At 46.8% G+C, this 20,367-nt stretch overlaps 2 long non-coding RNA genes across 2 annotated transcripts, besides 1 other annotated feature; both read left to right on the top strand.

The window, feature by feature from the left end:
• The first annotated feature begins 2,949 nt into the window (after positions 1 to 2,949).
• LOC124901575 (uncharacterized) lies at positions 2,950 to 4,054 on the top strand. Its single transcript, XR_007060193.1, has 2 exons — positions 2,950 to 2,980; positions 3,768 to 4,054. It is a non-coding gene; the product is annotated as an uncharacterized LOC124901575 (long non-coding RNA).
• A 4,564-nt stretch (positions 4,055 to 8,618) lies between these two features.
• Positions 8,619 to 12,829, top strand: LOC124901574 (uncharacterized). Its single transcript, XR_007060192.1, has 2 exons — positions 8,619 to 9,008; positions 9,993 to 12,829. It is a non-coding gene; the product is annotated as an uncharacterized LOC124901574 (long non-coding RNA).
• Positions 11,441 to 12,121: an enhancer, noted in NCBI's record as "OCT4-NANOG-H3K27ac hESC enhancer chr7:3234434-3235114 (GRCh37/hg19 assembly coordinates)". NCBI's record gives its function as "activates a minimal SCP1, AML or CMV promoter by ChIP-STARR-seq in naive H9 embryonic stem cells {active_cell/tissue: H9 hESC(naive)}" and the evidence as "EXISTENCE:reporter gene assay evidence [ECO:0000049][PMID:30033119]".
• Positions 12,830 to 20,367: the final 7,538 nt, after the last annotated feature.

The following is a 20,367-nucleotide window of genomic DNA, read 5'->3' as shown; positions in this document are numbered from 1 at the left end:
GAGGTCAGCAAACTATGGCCCATGGGCCCAATCTGGCCCCACACTTGTGTTTGTTAATAAAGTTTTATTAGAACACAGTTACACTCATTTGTTTGTAGATGGTCCAAGGCTGCTTTTGTGCTTCATGAGCAGAGCTGAATAGCTGCACAGACACTGTCTGGCCTGCAAAGCACAACTGCTCTAGGCAGTTGTGTTTGCGACCCCTGCAGTACTGACTAACCCCAACTGTTGTTTTACCTCAGGCCAATGACCTAACCTCTCTTAGCTTCAAGTGCCTCCTCTCGAAAATGGGATAACATGAGATTGGGTTCCCTAGAACTGTTGAGAGGATTGAATGAGATGAAACGTAGGCCTGGCATACAACAGGGCCATTCAGCATGTGGTATCTGCTGATATTAGTTAAAGCATTGGCTCCATAAACAGAAAAATAACAAAAGACACTTCCAGTATTGATTTAATGTTAAGAGAAATCACACAGAAACTTCAAAACCCACCAGAGATACTTCCTCCCCGAAAACAAGGGCTCCAGGCACTTCTTGGCAGAGTCAGACGTGGAAGGCAGCACCAGCCATGGCTCAACTTAGTTCTGGAAATAAAACACGATGGAGAAACCTGCCCTGGGCACAAGGCCCAGCCAGAATGCACCCCTGGGTGCTGCCTGTCTGTGGCCCCATTCGTCTTGTTTGTGCAAAACTCTAGAGAAACCATTATGAGAACTGGCACCCTGCAGCCCTTACTCAGAGCCTTGGTCGGGGTCCTTTACTCTTTCTTCTGCACACAACATGGAAGTGAATGGGGACAGTGGAGGGGTGGGACTTGCACTTTTTTTTTTTGAGATGGAGTCTTGCTCTGTCGCCCAGCTGGAGTGCAGTGGCTCAATCTTGGCTCACTGCAAGCTCTGCCTCCCGGGTTCACGCCATTTTCCTGCCTCAGCCTCCCGAGTAGCTGGGACTACAGGCGCCCACCACCATGCCCGGCTAATTTTTTGTATTTTTACTAGAGATGGGTTTTCACCATGTTAGCCAGGATGGTCTCGATCTCCTGACCTCGTGATCCGCCCACCTCGGCCTCCCAAAGTGCTGGGATTACAGGCATGAGCCACCACGCCTGGCCTGGCCTGGGGCTGGCACTCTTGGTAGTGGGTCGTGACTGTGGAGGAACAAAAGTGATTGAGTAAAGGGTTCTTGTGTCTATTATTTAAGAAAAACTTAGGCCAGGGGTGGTGGCTCACACCTGTAATCCCAGCACTTTGGGAGGCCAAGGCAGGAGGATCACTTGAGGCCAGGAGTTCAAGACCAGCCTGGGTGACATAGTGAGACCCCATCTCTGAAAACAAAAAGAGAAACTTAGCCAAGCATGGTGGTTTACACCTGTAGTCCTAGCTACTCAGGAGACTGAGTGGGGAGGGTTGCTTGAGCTCAGGAGTCAGAGACTGCAGTGAACCATGATCGTGCCATTGTGATCCAGCCTGGGCAACAGAATAAGGTCTTGTCTCTAAAAAAGAAAACAAAAAAAGAGAAAAGAAGACAAATAGGGAAAGAAAAGAAAAGAAAGGAAAACAAAAGAAAAGAAAATTACATGCATTTGAGCTATAACCATCCCCCTTCCATCACTGCCTCCATCCCCAGTATCATGCCAGCTCTCTCCACCCTTAGCCTTGTGACATCACCACCACGATCATTCAACACTTGTTTTTTGGGCATGTGCTGTTGTAAAGTCACCAGAGTGGGAATGGGGGGCTCCCGTGGAGCCTGCATTCTAGGGAGGAAAGCTGACGACACATCAACTAGAAACTATCAGTAACATTATGCAGAGAACTGAGATGGGGAGCTACGTTTGCATGAGTAGTCAGGAAAAGATCTTTGTTTTTGAAGGGTGATGTCTGAACAGAGACCCCAATGTTGCATGGAAGCAGGTCATGTGAAGACCAGGGAGAACAGCGCCCCAGGTAAAGGTTGTGGCAAGTTCGAAGGTCACGTGGAGACCCTGATCTTGGCACATGGGAAGGAGGGCAGGGTGGCTAGAACCTGGCTGCTCAATGTGTGCTCCGTGACAAGCACCAGCGTCACCTGGGATCTTGTTAGAAATGCAGAATCTTTGTCCCCGCCATAGACCTGTTGGGCCAGAACCTGCATTGTCTCAAGACACCCAGGTGTTTCATATGAATAGTACAGCTTAGAAGCCCTGGGCCAGAGCACAAGTGAACACGGGCAAAGGCGCCTGGAGCAAGAATGGGGAGGCAGACAGCACCCAAAATGTGCAAGGCCAATGCTGCTAAAGCAAAAGGGGTGGGGTGGCCCCACATGTCCGTTGTAGCTTGTTTTCACTGGTTTCAGTCATTCAGAAGGTACTTATTGGTAACAGGGTTTGCATTTGTGGCCCTGCCCAAAGTTCATGTCAAATCGTAATCCCCAGTGTTGGAAGAGGAGCCTGGTTGGAGGCGATTGGATCATGGGGGTGGATTTCTTCCTTGCTGTTCTCATGATGTTCAGTGAGTTCTCACGAGATCTGGTTGTTTTTTTATTTTATTTTATTTTTTATTTTATGTTAGAGATGGAGTTCTGCTCGTCGCCCAGGCTGGAGTGCAGGGGCGCAGTCTTGGCTCACCACAACCTCTGCCTCCTGGTTCAAGCAATTCTCCCGCCTCAGCCTCCCGAGTAGCTGGGATTACAGGTGTGTACCACCATGGCCGGCTAATTTTGTATTTTTAGTAGAGACAGGGTTTCACCATGTTGGTCAGGCTGGTCTCGGACTCCCGAGCTCAGGTGATCCACCCGCCTCGGCCTCCCAAAGTGCTGGGATTACAGGCATGAGCTTCCGCGCCTGGCCCTCTGGTTGTCTGTAAGTGTGTAGCACCTCCTCCTCTCTCCTCCTCCTGCTCCAGCCACCCAAGACATGCCTGCTTCCCGTTCACCTTCCACTGTGATTGTGAGTTTCCTGAGGCCTCCCCAGCCGTACTTCCTGGACAGCCTGCAGAACCGTGAGCCAATTAAACCTCTTTTCTTTATAAATTATCCAGCCTCAGGTATTTCTTTATAGCAGTGAGAGAACAGACTCATACAACTGGGCATGTCTTCTAAGCAAGGTACTATTCTAATCACCAGACAATAGTGTGCTAGTAACTATTTAACAACCGGCTCTACGAGAGTAATCCTGCCATGATTACTCACCATGATTACGGTGGCTAATATTTTCATTTATGTTAACAAGTAAGATAAAGGTAAAACAACAAAAGTGCACGCTGGAACTTGACTCCTTTGTCGATGACATGAGAGACTTCCTTGCTGAATATGATAATAGACTTCCTTGCTGAATCTGATCTGATAATCCTTTTTTTTTTTTTTTTTAATTTTCTGAGACAGAGTCTGGCTCTGTCGCCCAGGCTGGAGAGCAGTGGCGTGATCTCTGCTCACTGCAACCTCCACCTCCTGGGTTCACACCATTCTCCTGCCTCAGCCTCTCGAGTAGCTGGGACTACAGGCACCCACCACAACGCCCGGCTAATTTTTTGTATTTTTTAGTAGAGACGGGGTTTCACCATGTTAGCCAGGATGGTCTAGATCTTCTGACCTTGTGATCCACCCGCCTCGGACTTCCAAAGTGCTTGGATTACAGGTGTGAGCCACCGTGCCAGGCCCTGATAATAGTTATGAAATACTGGAAAAACAGTTTTAAAATTCTCTGTGCTGTTTACACTTTAACAATGACATGCTTTTATGTTTAATCTACATCATTAATACTTTTCTCCATCCCTTCCTTAAATCTAGACAACAAACCAAACAATAGGGCAAGCTCTGGTTTGTAGTGTCTGCTGATTCCTGTGGTGTGAATACTCCCACCATGGCCAATATCAAGCTGCCAACATGGTGTCACTATATGCAGACTTGGGAAGAGATGCCTGCTAGCACATCATGGTACAGAATCTCCACTCTGCGGATATAATAGGTGCAAACCCCAAGAGCAGAGCAGAGCAAACAGCAAAATAATTAAGGAGTGATATGTTTTGAATATTCATTATCTTTGTTTTCAATAAAATTTATTTAATTGTAGGCTTTTACAGTCTAATTTGTATTTTCATTTATTTATGTGTATTTATTTATTTTTATTTTAAAAAGTAAAGATGAGGTCGCCCTATGTTGCCCAGGCTGGTTTTGAACTCCTGGACTCAGGCAACCCTCCTGCTTTGGCCTCCCAAAGTGCCGGGATTACAATCATGAGCCACTGCACCCAGCCAGTCTAATTTCTAATAATGGCTATGTTTAACAAGCAATTTGCAAAATTCCTGAAAATGTAAGAATTGACTCTTCTGAGCTGGCAGGAGCTGACTCCAGCACAGCACTCCAGTATGGGGGAAGGGGTGTGGGGTGGGACACCCTTGAACAGGACAGACACAGACCCTGTCTTCTGAGCTGGCAGTTTAGCGGGGCGTGTTGGGCTTTATTTAAAGTCAACTTCCTCAAGACAAGGAGAGTGGGGTGGGAGATGGAACTTCCTCTGTGGTTCACCCCAGGACCTCACTCTGGCCTAGGAATGCCCCTTCCTCAGGATCAGCCCCCAGGACCAGGCCTCCAGAGTCCCCACCCCCTACAGTGAGTTCAATGGAGACCCCTGGGACAAAGAAGAGAAAGAAGAACCAGAAGACTGCAATGAAGACGATTTAGAAAGGGAAATTAGGGCATGGTCACCTTGGCATGCCCCTCCCAACTATGGGCCAGAAAACACAGGAAATGACGGCAGAGCACGTAAGCTCTTAGAGAGGAACCTCCCACAGTCAGCGTCCAGCCTAGACAGAGGCCAAAATTTCTGGGGCTGTGATCAGGCAGGGAACTACTATATATATTGATTGCCAACCATGAACAGGTTGGGTGATCCACATTTGACCCTCAAACAACCAAGCAGAGTTGGCACCTTTACCAGTTTCATCTTGTAGAAGGAAAACCTGAGGCTCACAGGGGTTAAGGGGTCCCCCAAATCTTAATCCAGAGCCCTTTGCCTGCCTGGAATGAGGGCTGATATGGTTTGGTTCTGTGTCCCCACCCAAATCTCACCTTGAATTGTAATCACTAGTTGTCAAGGAAGGGACTTGTAATCCCCACGTGTTGAGGGAGGGAGGTGATTGGATCATGGGGGCAGTTTCCTCCATGCTGTTCTCATGATAGTGAGTTCTCATGAGATCTGATGGTTTTTATAAGTCACTTTTCCCTGCTCTTGCACGCTCTCTCTTGCCTGCTGCTATGTAAGACATGTCTGCTTCCCCTTCTGCCATGATTGTAAGTGTCCTGAGGCCTCCCCAGCCATGTGGAAATATGAGTCAATTAAACCTCTTTCCTTTATAAATTACCCAGTCTCAGGTATTTCTTCATAGCAGTGCAAAAGCGGACTAATACAGGGGCCAAAAGTGCACAAGATCTATGTCATCCTGATTGGTAATACTGAGGTCACTCCAATTGGTAGCCCTGTCCCATAACCTCTAAGTAAGGCAGAGTCATTGCTGACTATTCTGAGAGGCTGTTCCTTTCTCCTCTGGGTTCCCTTTCCAACTAGTTCCTTCCCTCCCAGCTCCAGTGTTATTTTTCTTTTGTGATTGTTTTTCTGAAAATGATGTTGTAGACACCTCCTTGTCCCAGCCACAATCCTTACTATATTCAATTATCCTGGTTTCTTAGGCTCTTTAAAGCTACTTTATTGCTCTCTCCTTGCTGTGACCCTAATCTTTGTTTTTCCTCTAGCTTTCTCCAGGGTTATTGCTTGTCAAGACAAAGGTCACCACAGACTCAAAAGAAACAGGGAAATAAACAATAGAAGGCTGGCTTCTGGCTGTCAAGTTTGTTTTCACCAACATTAAATTGATAGATGAATATGGAGGTGCCCCGCCACTTATCCTATCTCTTCTCAAGCTACATCTTGCCAGACCCTAGTCTCAGAAATAACAGTCTACTAACATAACATGATATAACATTTTCCCAGTGTACTTTCATACACATGAACTTCTTAATTAATTCTGAAAATTGTTCTGTAGTGTAGGTAGAGTAGGTAGTATTGTTCCCATTTTACAGGTAAAGAAACAGAGGAGATAGAAAGCTGAACTTCTAACTCTAGACAAGATAGAGTAGCCCCATTTCTCCTGAGTCCACCATCTTACAACTAAAAAAAAAAAAATCTCTGGACATGACACAACAAAGAAGCATAAGAGTTCCCTTCTCTCTTACCCTGTTACCAGCAGGGGCCAGTGGAGAGCTGAGCTTCTGCCCCACTCTGCCACAACAAAACAGTGGGAGCCAGTTCTCTGGTTCTCCCATCTCTGGGTCAGCAGAGCCTAGCAGGGTAGCTTGGATACAATAAGACAGTGCAAGCCGATGATGCATTTTCAATGGGAAGGTATCATCAAGGCAGAGATGGGAGTTCACTGCCAACCACCCATTTGCAATGAAGCAGGGTAAATCAGTGCTACACTTTTGTCACGATAGCACTGGTGGGGCCCAGTGGGAGGTTGAATATACAACTCATCCAACCTGATATGGTTTGGATTTGTGTCCCCACCCAAATCTCACGTTGAATTGTAATCTCCAGTGTTGGAGGTGGGGCCTGGTGAGAGGTGCTGGGATCATGGGGGTGGTTTGCCATGAATGGTTAACACCATCCCCCTTGGAGTTCTCGTTGCAATAGTGAGTTCTCGTGAAATTGGGTTGTTTGAAAATATGTGGCACCTCCACCCCTCTCATTGCCTCCTGCTCTGGCCATGTGAGACATCTCACTCCCTGTTTGCCTTCCACCATTACTGGAAGCTTCCTGAGTCCTCCCCATAAGCAGAAGCTGCTATGCTTCCTGTACAGCCTATAGAACTGTGAACCAATTAAACATCTTTTCTTTATAGATTACCCAGTCTCAGGTATTTTTTTTATAGCAGTGCAAGAACAGACTAATACACAACCGTTACGCTACATCTTAACAGGAAGACAGTCTGCCAAAAAAGAAAAGTTGAATAGGATCCAGACTCTCATAATATAATACCTAAAATGTCCAGGATAGAGCAGACAATCATTTATCATGTCAAGGAAAAGGAAAATTACAACTTGAATGAAAAAACAAACAGGCACCAAAATGCAAATGAATCAGAGGGATTATCACAAATTTAAAAGCAGTCATTACAAAAATGCTTCAAATGTAGTTATGAATTCTCTTGAAACAAACGAAAAATAGAAAATTTCAATAAAAATCAAGGTTATAAAAAAGAACCAAATGGAATTAAGGAACTGAAAAACACAATAACCAGGAAAAAGATAAATAAAACACGTCACTAGATGGGCTTGATAGTAGAGTAGAGATGACAGAGATTGAACCTGTGAAGTCAAGAACAGACCAATAGCATTCACTCAGTCAGAATAATAGAGAGAAAATAGGCCGGGCGCGGTGGCTCACGCCTGTAATCCCAGCACTTTCGGAGGCCGAGGCAGGCAGATCACGAGGTCAGGAGATTGAGACGATCCTGGCTAACACAGTGAAATCCCACCTCTACTAAAAATACAAAAAATTTAGCCGGGCGTGGTGGCGGGCGCCTGTAGTCCCAGCTACTCGGGAGGCTGAGGCAGGAGAATGGCATGAACCCGGAAGACGGAGCTTGCAGTGAGCCGAGATCACGCCGCTGCAGTCCAACCTGGGCGACAGAGCGAGACTCCGTCTCAAAAAAAAAAAAAAATAGACGGAAGAAATAACAGTCCCAGGGACCTGTGAGACAATAAGAAAAGAGCTAACAGCCATACCTTCTGAGTCCCAAAGGAGAAGAGAGTGAGACTAAAAGTATTCAAAGAAGTAGTGGTTAAAAACTTCTCAAATTTGGAGAAAGACATAAACCTACAGATTCAAGAAGTTTAGTGGATTCCAAGCAGGCTAGATGTAAAGAAATCCACATCATAATTAAATAGTTAAACTAAAGACAAAAACATATTGAAAGCAGTCAGAAAGAAATAACACATTTATGACATGGGAAAAATTAATTGCAATGATAGTGGATTTCCCATCTGAAATGATGGAGGCCAGAGGAAGTGGCTCAGCATCTTTCAAGTACTGAGAAAAAGAACTGTCAACTGTGAATACTGTATCTGGTGAAAACATCCTTCAGAAATGAAGGAGAAAGCAAAACATTCTTGGATGAAGAAAAACTAAGAGCATTTATTGTTGGCAAATGTATCTTTAAAGATTGGGTAAAGAATGTTATCTGAACAGAAGCTTTTATTTAAAAATTATACCTTCTATTTCTGGACTGAGATTTTTCCACTTTTCTCATTGGTTTCAAGAATGCTTGGAGCTCCAGAAAAGAAAAACAAACTATGGGAAGTACATAAATAGAAATAAATACAACAGACTATACTTCTCATGAGTATCTGAAATCATATTTGATGATTGAAGCAAAAATTGTAACAGCATCTTATGTGATGTTCAATATATGTAAAGAACACACTCAAGACACATATATTTTTAAGTGGGGAAGCTAAAGAGAACTAAATGGAAGTAAGGTTTCTACACTTACTCAAAGTGGCAGTGTCAACACCAGTAGCTTGTGGTAAGTTGTGTATGTATGTCATAATCTCTATAGTGACCAATAATTTTACATAATCTCTCCCAGAAAATAGGAGGGGAAGGAACACTTACCACCACATTTTATGAAGCTAATATTACCCTGATACTAAAACCAGAAAAAGACAGTGAAAAAAAAAAAAAAGAAAGAAAAGTAGATATCAATATCTTTTCAGCGACTTTTGACCCAAGATGCGTAGCCCTGGGGCTTTCTGTGCTCCTCGGCCCCTTGGTCTCCACGCAGAGGCTCCTGGGCTCACTCTCTCCTCCCATCTCCTCTTCTAGGAAGCATTGATGCGGCTGTCCAGCCTGTTGGATCAGCTGCAACCCACCCTGGTCTGTGAGTTAATGTTTCAGTGACCCAGCTTCTCATCTTGCGTCGTTGCAAACACTCCAGGTCCCCAGCCAGCTTTCAGTAGGGCAGGGGAAAAAGAGTGAGTCGAGATCACATGCTGGTGTGGGTTCCTGAAGGTTCAGGGGGGAGGGGAGAAGCGGGAGCGGAGGGGGGGAAAAGGGGAAGGTAAGGGAAGAAAAGGAAGGAAAAAGAAAAGAGAAGGAAGGAAAAAAGGGAAGGAAGGAAGGAAGGAAAAAGGATAGGAAATGAAAGGAGGAAGGAAGCAGAGAGAAGAAAAGTTTAAAAGAACAAATGAACTTACTGTCCTGGGTCCTATTGACTGCTCCTTTTATCGACAAACCTCTTGAAGGAACCATCTAGGCTGCTTGCCTTTCCCCCCACCTTCTGCAGTGCTGGCTGGCTCTCACTCCTGCCCCTTAGCTGAAACTGTCTTTCAGCAGCCACCAAGTTGCTGTCTCCCAGGCTCCTCTTGGGTTGCTCCATGGCTTCTGTTGAAGGTGCCAGCTCCGGATTTTTTCGAAGGCTCGCTGTCCTCTCCCAATTCCCCTCCTGCCCTCTGCCTGAGCCTCCTCTGACTCTTCCCCCACCTGGCTTCCTCTTTCCACCCCAATAATCCAATTCTACATCCCTTCTTTCTCTCTTGTTTCACTTTCCCTGGTCGTCTCACCTCTTTAGCGTTCCACTTTCCTTCCTCGGACACCAGGGTGATTTCTGTCCCTGCCCCCAGCCTCATGCCAGGTCTTTATTTGCCATCTCCCCTCATTCCTGAGCTCCCCAGGCAGGTTCCAGCAGCACGTCACAGTCCCTGAGCCCAGGACTGAGTGCTTCCTGCCTTACCTCCCTCCAAACTGCTCTCCTACTGCCCTTTCTGCAAATGCCCCCAGCATGCCCCCACCCCCGTCCCCAGGCACTCTGCAACCTCGGGCAGGGGACTCAAACCCCTCCCAGCATGTGCGCCTCCCACACGTCTATGCCATCCTGGATCAGGAAGTTGGGAAGAAGGATAGGAATGATGAATTATTCATCTCGCTGTGCTTAGTAAGTGTCACTCATTCATTCACAGGTATGGACTGAGGGGTCTCCCTGGGCTGGGCCGAGCAGGAGGAGGCTGAGCAGTGAAAACGGTGACCCCTGCCCTCACGGAGCTAACGAGAAGAGCAAATGGCTGGCAACGGTGCATGACACAGAATGAGCAACGGGCTGCACACATCGCGATTTACGTGGCTTTGGAAAAAACGCGTCTCACAAGTTGGGGCTGTCATACATTGGCTTCTTGGTAATCAATGCGTTTCAGCAATATATGGGGGTGAGTTTAGTTTCCAGTTGGCTTCCCTGAGGGTGTTGGATAAAATTGCAATTTAGATTCAATCAATACACATTTAGTGAGCACCTATTCTTTGCCTGAACGATTGTGGGCATTGTGGGGGATACAAAGGGAGACATCGTGGGTGGAGCTTACCATGGAAACAACTGTCTCTTGCTCCATGGTGTTTACCTTGCCTTGGAAAATAAACAACGTAAACATTTTTTTGTGACAACGGAGACAGGATTGAGAGACTTGCACAGACTTCCTTTCCCAAAACTTCTGCAGACTAAAATTCTACCATTAGCTATTAATTTCTTTGACTAAATTTTGTCCTCACTCTGCAGTTTCTTTTTTCTAAAGTAAAAATACTTCTAGAAAGAGAACACGACGTCCTTAACCTCTTAAAACAGAAATGACATATAAATCGACTTGCACACCAATTTGGGCCCTTGGATATTTGTTGCCTGAAGAGCTGTGTTGAAAAGGCCTCTGAGGCTCAATCTGGCCTCTGATGCAAAGAATGTCGATCGATTGCTGATGTCTGCCCTGAGTGCTGGAAGGGAGGATGGCATTTACTATCCCTGCCTTAAATTAGAGGAGCTTATGGGGTTCTTCCCCAACTATAACAAGAGGGGTTAAATGAACACTAATCATCTGATAGGACAGCCACTGAAGGAGGTGAGGGGAATTTAAGAAGGAAAGGCTGTGACTGCCAATCTCCTAATGTCACCTGCATGGCCGTCAGTCACCTGCAGCCCTTGTCAGTGCACCCAAAGCCTTTGCAGATGTCAACCCAGCTGGCTTTCCAGCCATGTCTCACCATACCCCAGTGCTCCTCTGCTCCAGCCCCACTGAACTCTGCCAGACCTGGACGTGCCCTTATACATGTGCTTCCTAGACATCCCAGAACATCTGTGCCCATTGTCTCTGCACAGGGAATTCTTATGTAACTCCATGAACACCTACCCTAAGTGTCACTTCCTGTGAGAAGTCCTCCCTGATTCACTCCCTCCTCTGTTTACCCACCCACTGGAGACCCAGCTCTGCATGGCAGTCTTCACACTCTATCATCTTTGTCCTTCCTTCTTTTTTTTTTGAGTCAAGCTTTCACTCTGTCGCTCAGGCTGGAGTGTAGATCACAGCTCGCTGCAGCCTCCAACTCAGCTAAAGCGATCCTTCCTCCTCAGCCTCCAGAGCAGCTGGGACTACAGGTGCATGCCACCATGCCCAGGTAATTTTTTTCTTTTTTGTAGAGACAGGGTCTTGCAATGTTGCCCAGGCTGGCCTCGAACTCCTGGCCTCAAGCACCTCCCACTTCGGCCTCCCAAAGTGCTGGGATTATAGGCATGAGCCACTGTGTCCAGCCCATCCTTGTCCTTTCACATGTGTCACCTTTCTCGTGAGACTAAGAGGTCTGTGGGAGCAGGGTTAGTGCCTGGTCTCTGTGATCCAGTCCCCAGCCCCAGGCCTGACACACAGCTGGTGCTCAACAACCACTGGCTGAATATTGGAATGAATAAATGAACGAACTTTGTCAGTGTGGCAGATGCTATGCCTATGCTGAGACTGCTGTTTTTTCACATGCCCCTGCTTCTCCTGTGTTCCTGCAGTAGCACACTGCCGGTGGTAAATGAATCCCCAAGTATGAATGCTTCACAGAACAAAGTTTAATTTCCCCTCCCACAAAGTCCAGTGCAGATTGTGCAGCCCTCCGGAACACTTGTCTTGGTATTAACCACATCTTTTATTTCCTGCATTCCAATGCTCTGACATCTGGGGCCTCGCTGACCCCCTAGAGTTAGCCAATTTCTAGAGATACAAGTTGCCATGACAGCACTTTTCAGATGCAAACAACCCACCCAAACCAAACAAAGCCTTCTTTTCCCTCCACCTCCTAACTGACCTTGGTGCTTCCCCGTGTGGCTCTGTGTGGCGTGGCAGGCGGTGTCCCCTCCTCCTGGGAACTGTGAGTAACAAACTACTTTTTCAATAGCAATCATCTCCTGATCTGTTGGCTTCACTATACCTCAAAATTTCTACTGATACACTGTGTTTTGAAACAGGCTTCCACTGAGTGACTCAGCGATCCAGTCTGCTTTCATAGGTGGCTCTAATGAGGCAGAAATTTAAAAATAAATATGCATTCATTCACTCCAAGAAAAGTAACAGGCAAGGGTTCACAAGAAAAAAAGAAGTTTTCCTCTGCCTAGCAAGCACACTTCAAGGACAGTTATAAGATAATGCTGTACGAGCAGCCAAGGCCAAAGGAATGGGCTTCAGACACCCCTCTCCCCCAGAGCAATGTTGAAGGAAAAAAAAAGAGAAAAAGATAAATTACTTTACTGTTACTCCTTTCCCAGGCTTCTTAAACGTGATTATGTTTTACAAATGTCTGTATTTAGCCAGTTCTTGTTTTTCTTTTGACGCAGCTACAAGGCCACAAATTATACACTATATGATTAACTGCTTTTGTTTTACTTTTGTAAGTCTGCTTATAAAAACCCCACTCAGTCGTTGTTCAATGCTCAGCTTTTTGGATGCGAATCCACTGAGCCAGTGCGTACCTAAAATAAACAATCCTCCCGTTCTCCGTATCGGTCTCTCTGGTTCTCAGTTTCTCGCAATGCTAACACCTCAACCTGTGGCCCCCACAATTGTCGTGGCAGGGAACACAGACCAGGGACATCTTGCACCAGCTCTAAAATACTTCCACCCAGAGGTGGCACCTACCACGTCTGCTACCTACTCAGTGGCCATGTCAGAGGCTTTCCAACCAGAGTGACTCCATCTTGAATAAATGAGACAAGAATAGGCAGGACTGGTTTTGCAAGGTACAACTCACAAAGACCCCCCTGATAAAACAGAATGTGGTCAAGAAGCCAGCCAAAACCCACCAAAACGAAGATGGTGAGGAAAGCGACCTCTGGTCATCCTCACTGCTCATTATACACTAATTATAATGCATTAGCTTGGGAAAAAACACTCCCACCAGCACCATGTCAGCTTATAAACACCATGGCAACATTCAGAAATTATGTTATACGGTCTAGAAAGGGGAGGAACCTTCAGTTTGGGAAACTTCCCACCCCTTTCCCAAAAAACTCATGAATAATCCACCCCTTGTTTAGCATATGAGCAACAAAGAACTGACAGTATACTCAGTCAAGCAGCCCATGCCACTGCTTTGCCTATGGAGCAACCACCCTTTTATTCCTTTGCTTTCTTAATAAATTTGCTTTCACTTTACTCTGTCAGCTCACTCTTAAATTCCTTCCTGCATGAAGCCAAGAACCCATGTGGCATCTCAGGGTGAACCCAAGTTTTGGGGTTCACCACGTGATAGCCAGAAGTGGTCACATGATGCCACTTGGGGGTACCTAAGCGGTGCGGCTGGGAAATTGGGGGTAGGGGATTGAACTATCTCCACTTCGGGTCTTGTTCTTCCCATCTGAATTAAGAACAGATAACCAACCCGAGATCAGTATATCTTTAGCTTAATATCAATACAGCACGATATGATTTCAGAGGATGCTTTGCCATACATATGACCTCGTGTGTCACCAGGAAATATGAGAGCTGAATGTTAACAAAGTAGAGATTCAAAGGAAAAAAGGCCCAAGGACTGATTGGCTCACAAATGTGCTCCAGCATTAGGGTCCTGAGTGAGATGAATGGGCCCAGGCCTAGCGAGCTAACCTCCTCTCACCTCAGTGGGCCAGACGCAGATGGGAACCGTGTGGCCATGGCTGCCCTAAGCCAGGATGAGGCTGAAGAGGCAACCTGTGTCTGTTACCATCTGCTCTTGCAAATATCTTCCTTGGGTGTGGTGTTTCTGGAGCCTGTAAGATATTTTCCCCAATGTTTTCTTGTAGTGGTTGCATTAGGCCATTTGAGCATGGCCAGAGTTTTAATTATTCATGACCAGGGAGGAGTCAGTAGACAAAGAAGCATCGGGAATATTGGGAAGCACAGACCTGGATGTGCTGATAATCTCAGCTTTCTTCCTCCCCAAATATCAACTGTGGCTGCTCCAAGGTTGTAAAGTTAAAGAAAGTTTCACCACTTCCTTCTCCTGCCCTGTTGCAAATAGAAATAGCAGTGATATTGACCAGAGGGTGGGTGCAGTGGGAAGGAAGAAAAAATCCCAAAGATACAGAAACAATGCACAGGCTGGAGGATCAGACCGAAAAGAGGAGAGAGGTTTTGCTGGAGACAGCAGAGGAAGCAGGCAGGTGGAGAGATGGAGCCCCGGGCAGGGGCCTCTAAGCACATAACTTCATTTACTCCCCACCCCTGCTCTGGAAGGAGGTATTGTGTTTGTTTACATTTTTATAAATGAGAATGCTCAGAGAGGGTAGTAAACTAGCCCAAAGTCACACAGGATGTCGATGGGTGGTTTTGACCTTTCTCCTGCTGTTACCCAACACAGGCGCAGCCTGGAATCCTGTGATCTCTAGATTAAGAGTCTCGTTTCTTGCCCATTTTGGAAACTATCATTAACCTAGAACAATGCTTCTTAGCCTCTCAGAGGATGCCTTTGAAAGGCTGATGAAAGCCGTGGATTATTTTTGCAGAAAAAATGCACATACCTGCATGTGTTCACTCACACCTCGGTTCTGCCTACAACTTCAAGATATTTGCAGATGCCCCAAATGGAGGAAAAGCTGTCAGGGACAGGTGAAGCACTTTCTTCCCAGCCTGGTACCTTGTGAACAAATTTTAAGGTAATATGTTGACACATCCATGGCTAAAGTGCTGGTAGACAGATGTGTATTAGTGCATTCTCACACTGCTATGGAGAAATACCCAAGACTGGATAACTTATAAAGGAAAGAGGTTTAATTGACTCACAGTTCTGCATAGCTGGGGAGGCCTCAGGAAACTTAAAATTGTGGCGGAAGAGAAAGGAGAAGCAGGCACCTTCTTCGTGGAGTGAGTGCCAGCAGGGGAAATGCCAGATGCTTATAAAACCATCAGATCTCATGACAGTGAGACTCACTCACTATCACAAGAAGACCATGGGGGAACCACCCCTATAATCCGGTTACCTTCACCTGGTCCCGCCCTTGACACATGGGGATTATAGGGATTGTAATTCAAGATGAGATTTTGAGTGGGCACACAGCAAAACCATATCAAGATGTGAGAGGAAGTAGCGAGACCCCTGGGCAAGAAATCAAAGGGTCATATCTTTGTTTAATATGCCTGTCGTTCTCCAACCAAAGACACGACCCCAGCTCTAGTCTGGCCTCCCCACCCCCACGTTAGAACCTGTCTGCATCCCTGCCTCGTACCATCTCAGTTCATTCATGATGCTATAGCAAAATATCCTAGACTGCATAATTGATAAATTAGAGAAATTTCTTTCTCACAGTTCTACAGGCTGGGAAGCCCAAGATGAAGGTGCTGGCAGATGTGGTGTCTGGGAAAGGTCTTCTCTCTGTTTCCAAGACAGTGCCTTGTTGTTGTGTCCTTGAGAGGGGACAAATGTTGTGTCCTCATGCGGTGGAAGGAATGGAAAGGCTGGGTTGCTCTCTGAAGCATCTTTTATTACAAGGGCATTAATCCATTCATGAGGGTGGGGTCCTCACGACTGAACTACTTCCCAAAAGGACCATCTCTTTTTTTTTTTTTAATTTTAAGACAGGGCCTCACTCTGTCACTCAGGCTGTAGAGTGCAGTGGTGCAATCACAGCTCACTGCAGCCTCGACCTCCTGGACTCCAGCGATCCTCCCACCTCAGCCTCCCGAGTAACTGGGACTATAGGAGCATAGCACCATGCTCAGCTAACTTTTTAATTTCTTACTGGGATGAGGTCTCCCTGTGTTGCCCAGGCTGGTCTTGGATTCTTGGGCTCAAGCGATCCTCCCAACTCAGCTTCCCAAAGTGTTGGGATTACAGGCATGAGCCACGGCACCCGGCCAGGTCCACTTCTTAATACCTTCACATTGGGTATTAGGTTCCAATGTATGCATTTTGGAGGGACATTTATAGTTAAACCATAGCAACATCCATGGAGGGGGTCCCGTGTGTCACCTGCAGCCTCTGGAGTGGACCCTCCTCCTCCGCAGTGTACCACCCCTTTCTTCTCTTTCTGCAGACGCTTTTTCGTGATCTTCTCCTTCTAAGATTTGGCCGATACAGTCCTCACTTCAGAAAACTGGTACTCCAGACTGAAATCAGAAAAGTATTCCCCAGCTGCAGAGAAACCGGGACTCTGGAGACCATCCTTGCGTTTTGGCAAAAAGACTCTGCTGGCCGGGTGCAGTGGCTGATGTCTGTAATCCCAGTACTTTTGGAGGCCAAGGTGGGTGGATCACTTGAGGTCAGGAGGTCGAGACCAGCCTGGGCAACATGATGAAACCCCATCTCTACTAAAAATACAAAAACAATTAGCCGGGCATGGTGGCACATGCCTGTTACCCCAGCTACTGGGGAGGCTGAGGCAGGAGAATCACTTGAACCCAGGAGGCAGAGGTTGCAGTGAGCCGAGATTGTGCCATGGCACTCCAGCCTGGGCAACAGAGTGAGACATCATCTCAAAAAAATTTAAAAAGGCTTCCACAAATAGGAGGAGAGACCAGGGATTAGAGAGAAAGCAGCAGCATTGCTTGGTGATTTTTTGGCCTCCTCCTACCTCAGTTTTCCCAACTACAAAATGGGGGCAATGGTGTTTCTAGCCTCATAGAGTTGTTACACCTGCACAGCACGGTACCTGGAGCAGCAAGACCAGCACATACATGGGAGCTGTGGTTATTGACTCCAGGCCAGCTGCCAGAAGGGAGACCTCTGTATCCAGAGACATCAAGGCATTGGCAAGGGGGATTTGGGGTTACAGATGAAACCCCATTAAATAAATAATGCCCCTCTTGGGCTGGGCATGATGGCTCACACCTGTAATCCCAACATTTGGGGAGGATCGCTTATCAGAAGGCTTAGGAGGGAGGATCACTTGAGCCCAGGAGTTCACGACCTACCTGGGCAACACAGCAAGACCTCATCTCCACTAAATAAATAAATAAATAATAATGTCCCTCCTGCTCGCCTGAGCTCTGTACCAGTTGAATGAGACCAATGAGGGATCCAAGCATCCCCTCCGTTCCACTACGCAACTGTCAGCTAAGTCCCTCTACCTCCCAGAGCCATACAAAGAGGGCAGGAGCCTAAGGAAGGTGATGGGCTGTTTCCTCAGCCCCCGCCAGGGAGGGCATCCTCTGCAAAGGCAGATCTTGTGCCCATCATGCCAATCTCAGCCTGTGTGGCTCCCGGAAGCCCCTGTGGCTTGAGATGTGTCTTCGTGTTTGCGATCACCACCTGGGAGTCAGCCTTGTCATCTAACGAACCCGTCTCTGGAGCCTTCTTCGTGAACCCAGGTGGAAACCATCTCAGCGGGACTTTAAGTTCTAACAACACCGTTTCTTTTCCTGCGTGGGCCCCTCCTCATGGGGCTGCAGTGGCTTGGACCCTTTAATAGTCTCCCTGCTGCAGGTTCCAGCAGCACTGCGCTCCCTGCAGCCTCCCTGGATGATCTTCTCCGCAGCTGCCTCTACCTACAGATGCTCTCTGCCTCAAAGCCTGCAAACCGATAACGATGACCTCACCCACCCTCTGCCACCTCCAGTTTTGTTTTTCAGTGAGAGAAGCAGCTGTTATTATTCATGAAGTCAAGATTTGGGGAGGAAAAAAAGTATCCTTCCAGTTAAGGCTTGGCCTTAAATAAATACAATTCACTCAAAGCAAAGCAATAGGCCAGGAAAAATATTGTTAGCACTTACCAAAGAAAAATGTATATGATTCAACATATGTATTTTGAAAGGAATATATATTTCCTTTCAAATATATATAAACAGCTCCTACAAATCAAAAAGAAAAAGACAAACAATGCCACAGAAAAATGCCACAGCCGTGGTAGCGAGCAGGTTTGTTACTGATGGCAGTGGCCGTTCCTCCCTCCCCACCCCAGGGGAGCCCCGGTTTCTCAGGTCCTCAGTGCGCTACAGATGCTTGCTTCAAGGGAGTGCCCAGATGCTATGCTGGGGAGTCTGGGTTCACCGTGGCCACCACAGTGCGATAGGTTGGGTCATAGACAGTGATGTTGTCTTGTCCATCTGCTGGGGGTATAGGGGGTGGCAAGGAAAGCCTGTCCTCATTCTTAAAAAGAGACACTGATGCTGGGTGCAGTGGCTCACACCTATAATCCCAGTACTTTGGGAGGCCGAGGCAGGAGGATCACTTGAGGTCCAGAGTTCAAGACCAGCCTGGTCAACATGATGAAACCCTGTCTCTATCTAAAGATACAAAAATTAGCCGGGCATGGTGGCGCACGCTTGTACTCCCAGCTACTCAGGAGACTGAGGCAGGAGAATCGCTCAAACCCAGGAGGCAGAAGCTGCAGTGAGCCGAGATCACACCACTGCACTCCAACCTGGGCAACAGAGCGAGACCCCATCTCCAAAAAAATGAAGACACTGAGGCTGGGCGTGGTGACTTACACCTGTAATCCCAGCACTTTGGGAAGCCGAGGTGTAGGGATTGCTTGAACCCTGGACTTCCAGACCAGCCTGGGTAACATAGTGAGACCCCATCTCTACAAAAACTAATAAAATTAGCCAGGCTTGGTGGTGCACACCTGTAGTCTCAGGTACTTGGGAGGCTGAGGCAGGAGAATCACTTGAGCCCAGGGGGTCAAGGCTGCAGTGAGCTATGATCGTGGCACTGCACTGCAGCCCGAGTAACAGAGTGAGACCTCGTGTCTAACAAAAAAAAAAAAAAAAGGAGACACATTTCTTATTGTCCAAGCCAGCTGAGTCATGGTTTTTTTGTTCCCTGCTCTCCAAAGCACTTTAATTAATACAGGCACGAAGAGGTGCTGTCATCGATGAGATATGAGTGGTCAATAAACACAAGAAATTATGCTCAGCCTAAGCAGTTAAATAGGGAACTGCAAACAGCAATAACAGGGACGTAACTGGGGCCCGTTAGACTCGGAAAGAGTGAAGACGTTGAGAACATGTGAGGCTGGGCAGTGTGGAGTGCGAGGCGCTCTCCTACGGAACGGGAGGAGGTGTTCATCAGCACGGCATCTGGAGAGGACAACTTATGGTTATATAAAAATGTAAATGCACACACCCTTAGCCTCGCGACGCCAATTCGGCCTCTTTTGTAGAAACATTTGCATGATGTAGCTATAAAAAAAGAATGAGTTCATGTCCTTTGCAGGGACATGGATGAAGCTAGAAGCCATCATTCTCAGCAAACTAACACAGGAACAGAAAACCAAACACCGCACGTTCTCACTCATTAGTAGCAGTTGAGCGATGAGAGCACATGGACACAGGGAGGGGAGCATCACACACTGGGGCCTGTCGGTGGGTGGGGCGCAAGGGAAGGGAGAGCATTAGGACAAATACCTAATGCATGCGGGGCTTAAAATCTAGATGACGGGTTGATAGGTGCAACAAACCACCATGGCATGTGTATACCTATGTAACAAACCTGCATGTTCTGCACAAGTATCCCAGAACATAAAGTAAAATTAAAAAAAAAAGAAAAGAAACATTTGCATGAATATGCAAAGGAGTAAGTAGAAACATGTCGATTTGGAGCAATGGTAATAGCAAAACACTAAAAACCATCCAATCCGTTTCCAAGGAAGATTTGGTTAAATCAATCACAATGCAATCATGTTATGGAAAACTACACAGCTATAAAGAGAATGAGCTTTTTTTTTTTTTTTTTTTTTTTTGAGATGGAGTCTTGCTCTGTTGCCCAGGCTGGAGTGCAGTGGCGCGATCTCGGCTCACTGCAAGCTCCGCCTCCTGGGTTCACGCCATTCTCCTGCCTCAGCCTCCCGAGTAGCTGGGACTACAGGCGCCCGCCACCACGCCCAGCTATTTTTTTGTATTTTTAGTAGAGACGGAGTTTCACTGTTATCCAGGATGGTCTCGATCTCCTGAACTCGTGATCCGCCCGCCTCGGCCTCCCAAAGTGCTGGGATTACAGGCGTGAGCCACCGCGCCCGGCTGAGAATGAGATTTGTAGCTGTCCGTGAAAACAAAGAAAAGCCTCCAAGACAACAAATAAAAGTTCAGTGAAAAAAAAAGTTATGAGAATGCAAATAGTATAATTGGA

Source organism: Homo sapiens, chromosome 7 (genome assembly GCF_000001405.40).
Source record: "Homo sapiens chromosome 7, GRCh38.p14 Primary Assembly".
NCBI lineage: Eukaryota > Metazoa > Chordata > Mammalia > Primates > Hominidae > Homo > Homo sapiens.
The sequence above is the reverse complement of the archived record's forward strand: the minus strand, read 5'-3'. Positions and strand labels throughout refer to the sequence as shown.